Genomic DNA, 9869 nt, shown 5'->3' with positions numbered 1-9869 from the left:
AACAAGGACAATTATATGACCTTTTCTGGATTCTGTATCTGTTCTATTGATTTATGTCTATCCCTCCATCAATACTATACTGTTTTTAATATGGTAGCTATATTTTGAGGCCTCAAATTTGATTTGTGTGATCCTTTCAACTTTATTATTTTAAAAAAATGTTTCAGCCATTCTAACTCCTGTGCATTTTAATATAAATTTAGTATGAAATGATCTATATTTACAAAGAATTCTCTTGAAATTTTAATAAGTAATTATGTTAAGCCTATAGTACAATTTGAGAAAAATTTATTTATTTATCCTGTTGAGTATTCTAGCCCAAGAACATGGTATTGCTCTCTACTTAATTCTTCCTTGATTTTCCTAGGAAATACTTATTTTCATATTGACAAAAATACATATTAGAAAATAGGTATCAAGTATCAAGGCTTTTGTCCATTTTAGAAATAATTCAAATATTTCTATGAATAGAAATATTATATTTGGGGAATAGATAGTCCCCAAAGCTTTACGTCTTTCCTTCTCACTTGATTTTCATAAAATGCTCCCAAATAATATAAGGGCTACATCTGTCATCTCTTCAGGCTCTTTTAGACCTTGCCCCTGTCAAGACACAGATCCCTTTTGAGGCATCCCTCTCTACTCACCGAATGATTTATGCAGATAATGATCAGGGCATTTACTTACTAAGACACTTCACTGTTGATACCCATTCTTTCTCTGTGCATGTTACGTGAGTCTATAGGGGATTTGAAGGAGATACAAAGCTATATTCACAGGAGTAATAGAACAGTTTTTTTTTCTTGTGAACTGGTAAAGTTGGTTTATATTTATCTTGGTCATATAATTGTCCTTGTTTTATTTCTGCATATCTACAAATTTCTCTTGGGAGAAAAAAACAAATAAATATCCTGAATTAAAGAATATACAGCTTATATTTCAATGATGTCATTGATGCATTTTATTCATTTAACTCATTACCACTTGTCGTTAGTGATTAAGAAACAGAGAACTATATGTAACCCAGAATGCAAAAGTATTTAATAACATCATTGTTAAAGAAGACACTATAACATTTTTGGAGTCAAATCAAGTGTAAACTCTTTTGAAGTGTCTCCAAGAAGATAACAATACAGAACAACACAAAAATCAAGGTAGAGGATCTGAGTAGCTTTATACTGCAGTCCTCTCATGCCTAAGATTTACGTAGGTTGGGATAAGAGTACAGATTTTAAATCTCTATTCAATTCCGTTCTCCTTTCTTTTCTTTGCCTGTCATGAAATCTTTTAGCAGAAAGCCGAGCCGTGTCTGCCCCTGCTAGTTCAGCTAAGATACTGCCTGGGTAAGTTTTTTATACTATCATTTTTCTGACTGTAAACATAATGTACTTTCAGTGAAGAAAATTTAGAATGAACAAAGAATCATAAAACAAGGAAGCAAAAGCTCACCCCAAATAAAAAATCCGAGATATAATTACAACTGGATTATGATGAATAGAAAATAGGTATGTACATGTGTATACATTTGTATATATTGTGATGGCAAAATATGAAAATAATTTAGAATTGGCATTGTCTCTAGAAAAATAGATCTGTGTGGATATAACACATCATATAAGCAACATATAAATAAATATTAATATATAAATAAAAATGTAATATATGGTAAAGAACTATAAATAATTTGTATGTCAACACATAGTTTATGTACATTACTCCACAATTAATGTTTATCACAGTTTTAAGATATCATTTGATAGGATGAAAATTTTTTTCAACAAGTTTCCTAATAAAAAGACCAAATCTGAAATATTTACTTAAGTAAAGAGAAAAACCAATCTTCAAAGACCTGAAGCTAAATCCTATTAAACTTTTAATTAGGCCAGTTGCAGTGGCTCACACCTGTAATCTCAATACTTTGGGAGGCCGAAGTGGGCAGAATACTTGAGGCCAGGAGTCTGAGACCAGCTTGGTTAACATGGCGAGTCCCTGTCTCTACTAAAAATATAAAAAAATTAGCCGGGACTGGTAGCGCACTCCTGTAATCCCATCTACTTAGGATGCTGAGGCACGAGAATCTCTTGGACCCGGGAGGTGGAGGCTGCAGTGAACCAAGACCGTGCCGCTGCACTCCAGCCTGGGCAACAGAATGAGGCCCTGTCTAAAAGAAAAAACCTTCAGAAACTTTTAATTAATTAATTTATGCACATATTAAGTACAAACATTAAATTATTTCTAAAATTCTATATAATGTTACTAACTACAACACATTTTATTTTCATCTTTTTTGTTTGTTTTGTGTTCTCTGTTTTTGGTGCCCATTGTGTTTCATCAGTTAATAAGGTTTTTTTTGTTTTGTTTTTTGTTTTTTGTTTTTTTTGAGGCAGAGTCTTGTTCTGTTGCCCAAGCTGAAGTGCAGTAGTGGTGTGATTTTGGCTCACTGCAGCCTCTGCCTCCAAGGTTCAAGTGATTCTCCTGCCTCAGCCTCCTGAGTAGCTGGGACTACAGGCACGCACCACCATGCCCAGCTAATTTTTGTATTTTTAGTAGAGACACGGCTTCACCATGTTGGCCAGGATGGTCTTGATCTCCTGACCTCATGATCTGCCTGCCTCAGCCTCCCCAAGTGCTGGGTTTGACTTGAGCCACCGCAGTACAGACTTGTACTTGTACTTGAGCCACCTCAAGTACAGACTTGAGCCATCGCAGGTGATAAGTTTTAATGGATAATTATTTGACTTTTAATCTCCTAACTGAGCAAAGAAATGAGAACAGGTTGTGATGTCCTACTCCCACTATTTTCCTCCAGGGATCACGTAAGATGATCATGCAAGAGTTTACTTAATACATAGCCTTCTCCCTTGCTGAGAGCTCCAGGGTTCTCCAGCTGTACTCCATAAAGTCCCTGCCATACATCCCATCTTTACTTACAGAACATATTCTTCCTACCGACACTCAGGACCAAACCATTTTAGAAATATGTCTTATAGCAGAACTGTGCAAGTTAACTAAAAATGCTCTCAGATGTTTTATATCACGTTTTGTGCCCTGAAACTAATTTACAAATGGTTGCTAATGGAAAACACCTTCATTACCTTCTTCAGCCTTTTTTCAACTCAATCAGGATAACTTTTTGTTTCCAAAACAGTCCAGCTTTACGCTTTCTCCTTTCTTTGTCTCTCAATCACTTTCAATAGTTTTCTATTTTCTTGAATATTTGTGGATAGTTTTAAAAATCATTTAAGAACTGTATAGAAGATTTTACATTTCATATTATATTTGAAATCATTAATATTATTTTGATTATTTTAATGTATGCTTACTTATAACTTCTATAATATAATTTATTATCTTTTTGGATAGTGAAACTTCTCTCAGTTTTTCTTGTTGTAATGGAGTTGCAGGAAAATTAATTGTACATGATATTTTAAAAATTTATTACATAAATTTTAAGTAGTAAAAAGGAAATGACAAAATATTAGTGCATTTTTAGGGTTCTGGCTAAACCTCAGCATTTTGTTTATAAATCCATACGTATCTGTTTATGCTGACTCAAACTATGTATATGTAAACTGATTTTACCATAACTGTATAGGCTTAAATATTTAATCTTACTAATTTTATAATTAAACATTCTACTGTTCTTTTCAAAATTACTTAAATTAATTTGAACACTTTCCATTTACTTGTTGACTATTGTGCTTTAACTGTGTGAATTATTTATGCTTGTACTTTTCTACTGGAACATCATTGCTTTTCTCAATAATTGAATCAGTTTTTAACGTTATAATTTTTCTATCATACATGATTTGCATGAAATTTTCAGATAATTTTTTCTTGAATTTGATGTTTATTTGGGCTACAAAGCCCATTTTTGTATTCTCAAATATTTTAGTATTTCACCTTTGTGAAGTAACAAACCTGATACTTTAAGTATTTCTTATGTGTTGATAAATGTGAAATTCATTTCATATGGCTATTGTACTAGATATTACAAAAATTAAACACAGTAGAAACTGATGTCTGAAATAGCTCTTCTACCTGAACATTATATATTGTTAACTCCCGACTGTAATCCAGGATCCACACTCATGAAACCATGGTCCGTCTGTCTATGCATCTCACTTGCTTAAAATCCATCAGTGGCTCGCTGATCACTCTCTGAGTAAAGTTCAGTCTCCTTGTCAGGTCTATAAAATCTTTTCTGATTCCTCCCTACCTCACATCACCCATCACAATGAATTTTCTGAGTTCTAGTCATGCTGATTTTTTGAAGCTTCGCAGTTATGCTTTTTCTTTTTCTTGTTGGTCTTTCACATTCTGTTTCTCCTAAGTGTTGATTTTGTCCATGTCTACCTACCAAAGTTATATTCAAGTTTGAATCTCACATGAAATGTCATTTCCTTTCAGATCTATTTCCTGGCCTCCAAGAAAGTGTTTATTTCTTCTCTACATTAGTATAGTGTCTTCCATCCTTTACTATTAATGTGCTTATTATATTGCTATAATTTTTATATGTCTACCCTGTGGGGTTTTGTATCTGCTGTATCTATAAGCTCCTTCATCTCACTGCTGCTTACCTGTGTGATCAATGTGCTGGAGAAAAGATTTTTGTTACACAGACTGATACAAAATGAAGAAGCAGGTTTCTACTAATCATGCTTTATTTTTCCTTTGAGTAATATTAATGATAATAACAGCTTCATTGATTTACTGCATACTTACTATATGGTTATAGATATTGTTGAATACCCACTACACTGAAAACTATTTACATACATTTATGAATTAAAATCTGATTTCAAAGATGTTATCTCCATTTTGCAGATGAAACTCAGAGATAGGGACATGCTTCCTATACCTATACATTATTTAATCAGTGAAGCAGTATTTAATGAAAGACATAGACATTTATTGAGATAGTTTTCACGTAGAAGTATTTTATTTGCTTTTATATATATTAAGTTGTTTAGTCTTACCAGGTGGTAAGAATGTTGGTGTTGGATTGCTGAAGAAATTCACAGGACTCAAGCAGCTTATACTCAAAAAAGGGCTGTATCACAGGCAAAGGGCACAGCAACAGTAGGAGAGGGTTGTTTGTTGAGGGATCCATCCATGGAACTCACACACAGACTTCTTTGTCCTACCACCACTGGGTCATACAGGATGCATTTTATCTCCAGATACAAACCACATCAGCATGTGTGTGTGTGAAACCTGAATTTCCTTTGTTTCACTGAAGCATATGCTGTACATCACTCCAGTAACGATGTTGCTCAAGCCTGCTGCCTCCCAGATCCGTGGCATTTTGCTCTAGAAATGGTAGGGTCTTAGAGAGACAATTTATTTCACTCTTACAGGTGTCTGAATAAAAGGTAAGAGAGAAAATTATTTTCTTGCTCTAAGGCTGTCGTAAACAAAGCTATGTTTGATTTTCCCTTTTAATAGTTACATAACTATTCCCTTTTAATAGTTAATACATAACTATTCCCTTTTAATAACTATTCCCTTTTAATAGTATATTTGTGAGATATCTTATTTAGGTAATTATGCCACTTTCTTTTTATCTATCACTTATTTTAACCCAAACTTTCCTCTCCAAAAAGAAACATCAGGCTTGACCATCGAGCTAATCCATTCACTGGAAATAAGAATCGTGCCAGTGCCTCTCTCATGATTTATTTTCATTCATATGGGGTAGGATTAGAAATGTACACACTTACTGGCCTGCTACTTCTACTTGGTAACAAAGCATTTGTACCTGAAGGCCCAGTTAGGCCAGGTGAGAGGACGGGACATTCTAGCTTCTGTGGTTTCTGTTGCAACTACTCTGTTGTACCCTGATAGTGTGAAAACAGCCATGGGGAATATGTAAACTAGTGAACATGGTTGTGTTCCAATAAAACTTTATGGACACAAATGTGAATTTCATATAAATTTTATGAATATAATTTTAATTATAAAAATGTTATTCTTATTTTAAATTTAAAAAGATGTCAAAATATAAAATCTATTGTAGTCAGAGCCCTACAAAAATAGGCAGCAGGCCACAGTTCCCCATGACTGTCATTTGCCAGTCCTCCATCTGGTCCAGCAACCCCTTCTGAATTCAGTTAAATTAAAAACTATAGACAGTAACTCCTGTTTAAATATGAGTGATGCTTCAAGATCTGTTCATTTTAAACTGGACTCAGAAATTATAGCGTAAGGCAGAAAAGAAGAAAATTGTGATGTGTTTGGAAAGACTTGTAGATACGTGCTGGTTTCATCCCCAAATCGTTGTTTCCTCTACCTCTGTATCTAGGAAATTTATCTAATAGTAAGCCATCTTTGATTTATCTCATGTTTACCTTTTTATTTTTATGTTTTACTTTTGTTTTAGATTCAGGAGTATATGTGCGGGTTTGCTACGTAGGTAAATTGCATGTCATGGGGGGGTTTGATGTACAAATTATTTTGTCACCCAGGTAATAAGCATAGCACCTGAAAGATGGTTTTTCTGTCTTCACCCTCCCATCCTCCACCCTCAAGAAGGCCCCAATATTTGTTGTTCTCTTCTTTGTGTCCATATGTATTTGATGTTTAGCTTCCACTTATAAGTGAGAACATGGGGTTTTGGGTTTTCTGTTCCTGTGTTAGTTTGCTTAGATAATGGCCTCCAGCTCCATCCATGTTCCTTCAAAGGACAAAATCTCATTCTTTTTTGTGGCTACATAGTATTCCATGGTGTATGTGTACCACATTTTTAAAATCCAGTCTACCATTGATGGGCATTTAGATTGAATCTCTGTACAGACCAATGGTGAATTCCAAAAATGAATCAGTAATAAAATCCTACCAACCAGAAAAAGCCCAGCACCAGCCAGGTTCTCAGCTGAATTCTACTAGATATGTAAGGAAGAGCAGGTACCATTCCTACTGAAACCATTCCAAAAAATTGAGGAGGAGGGACTCCTTGCTAATTCATTTTATGAGACCAGCATTATCCTGATACCAAAACCTAGCAGAGATACAACAAAAAAGAAAACTGCAGGCCAGTATCCTGATGAATATAGACACAAAAATCCTAAAAAACAAAACAAAACAAAACAAAACAATCACGATGTATCCAGCAGCACATCAAAAAGCTAATACACTGCAATCAAGTAGGCTTTATCCATGGGATGCAATGTTGGTTCAACATACGTAAATCAATAAATGTTATTCACCACATAAACAGAACAAATGACAAAAACCACATGATCGTCTCATGCTTAATTTTAATGCACAACTTAGTAAATGAGCCTTTTCGTCCTTTATCACTGCACTACCCTGACTTTAGTTTTTTTAAGCAGATATTTCAATTAATGATTCCAAATATTTCCACTACTCTGCAGATGATAAAGGATACTATATGTTCATTTGATGTGGTGTTTCTTTGACCACTGTTGTATACCATGTGCTGTAATATAGTATCCTTCATCAGAAGAATGTAACTTGCTAGGCAAAAATAGTTTCAATTCTTTTTTTTTTTTTTTTTTTGAGACGGATTCTTGCTCTTTCGCCCAGGCTGCAGTGCAGTGGCGTAATCTCGGCTCACTACAAGCTCTGCCTCCGGGGTTCTCGCCATTCTCCTGCCTCAGCCTCCCGAGTAGCGGAGACTACAGGCACCAGCCAGCATGCCCAACTAATTTTTTGTTTTTGTATTTTTAGTAGAGACGGGGTTTTTACCGTGTTAGCCAGGATGGTGACGATCTCCTGACCTCATGATCCGTCTGCCTCCGCCTTCCAAAGTGCTGGGATTACAGGCGTGAGCCATCGCGCCCGGCTAATAATTTCAATTCTTTAATTGTCATGTATTAGATTTAACTTCCATGAAAAAACCAAGTGTCAATGGCCTTCAAATCTTGCTTAATCTTCCTGTTGTTAAAAACAAACAATATGGTGAAAACCCGTCTCCACTAAAAATACAAAAATTGGCCGGATTTGGTGGCGCGAGCTTGTAGTCCCAGCTACTTGGGAGGCTGAGGCAGAATAATCGCTTGAACCCGGGAGGCAGAGATTGCAGTGAGCTGAGATCATGCCACTGCACTCCAGCCAAGGCGACAGAGCAAGACTCCGTCTCAAAAAACAAACAAACAAACAAACAAAAACAAAAAACAACCACGTAATAAAATCTATTTATTAGCTCTATGCTGGTCCATCATTCCTGTGGATATGTCCCAATGCATTTTTTAATCTTACATCTCTTACTAAGAAACTGGGCAATTATGATTAACAATTTGTGCCTTTTCTGGTGCTGGTGTTGGTTTGGGTCCTTCTGTGACCATTCATTTCATGTACCTAAGTAGCCACTTCTAGGTAAAGACCCAAAATATCTATTTGTTGACTCCAATTCCTTTCCAGTCCTGGTGGAGTTTTTATTTTGGTAGGTATCTACATGTCCCAATTTGAATTCCCATAAAGGTAGTGTATCAGGCAAGAAGTATTTGAATCAACTGCTTTCCTATGAATTAATCCCTGACAGTGGATTGGTATCAACCCATGTGATTGCGTTTTTTATGTACTCAAAATCTAAAATCTTCCATAATAGCTAGGAATAGAGATTAAAGTTTAGCCCACTGGGCTGGTTTAGTCTTATATTTTCCCATGAGGATCTGCCACAACTTTCCGGGTAGAGAAGTGACCATTCTTTTATGAATGGCCATCAGAGAGATAGGCTGATCATTTAGCCTCCTGCAGCAGATGGTCTAGTGAAAGATCCCTTGTTTAAATTCTTACTTCTATAGCCTAAGACAGAGCCTCAACAGTCTCTGCAGTGAGTCCCAGAAGAAGAGAAGCTATTTACTTATGAATATGACCAGGGCTGCTACTGTACCCTCTTGTAGAATTTTCTTTCGTATACAATGCTTATTTAATGATGGAACTACTTTGTGCATTCTCTCCTCTTTTGGTATGTTTTTCAGATAAAACCATTTGGACACTTCAAAAATTAAAATAATTTTATACCCTTAAGTTATTAGAGGAATTTTAATTAATGCCCTATACCATCTCAAATGGCAGGTAATTTGTGTCTGCTTTTTTTCCCTTCGTTATTCTTGCTAAAAATAAATTTATTATTCTTCTGAAAGAATTAGCATTGGTTCATTTCATTTGTTCTTTGAGAAGATTACTAAAATAGATTTTTTTCTAAATTGAATTTGCTTCATTGATTTCTGCACTAATATTAATTGTTTCCTGCTTTCTTATATTGTAAGCTTAGTTTAGTGTTTTGAGATGTTAATTCTTTTCTAATACACCATTTAATGACATCTCACAATTCTATGGGACAGTAATTTTGGTGGGATTCAGACGGATAATTCTTTTGTTTTTTGGGGCATTAATAAAGACATTCAATGTTATTTATCTGGCACATATTCTGGAATTGAGGGTTTAATATGTCTTCAGTCATATATTTGGTGCTTTGCCAACAATGGGTGAAATTTGGGGTTCGGGTGACTCCTGTCACTCTCAGGGCCTCTCTACAGGGTAGTAAGAATTCTCGCATACTGGTTAGAAGCTACGAGAGACCAAGCTGCTATTTTTTTAAAAGCTTTTATCCATAATTGACGTAGAGATACTTATACTGTATCCTATTAGTCAAAGCAGTCATGGGTTAGCACAAGTTCAAGATGATGGGGAAATAGGTCACTAAATCAGAGGATTTTCAAATTATTTGTGGACATCTTTGATCTGTATAATGTAACTATGCTGCATTACATGCTAATATTTTAATTATCTCCACTCTGAGGTACATACGTGTCATAAAAATGATTGTAATTAAGAATATACTCCATTATGATTACTTATCTAGTTCGTCTTTGTTGGTGACGTCAAATATAACCAAGTCT

The sequence above is a fragment of the Homo sapiens genome, chromosome 1 (assembly GCF_000001405.40).
Source record: "Homo sapiens chromosome 1, GRCh38.p14 Primary Assembly".
NCBI classification, from domain to species: Eukaryota; Metazoa; Chordata; class Mammalia; order Primates; family Hominidae; genus Homo; species Homo sapiens.
The sequence above is the reverse complement of the archived record's forward strand: the minus strand, read 5'-3'. Positions refer to the sequence as shown.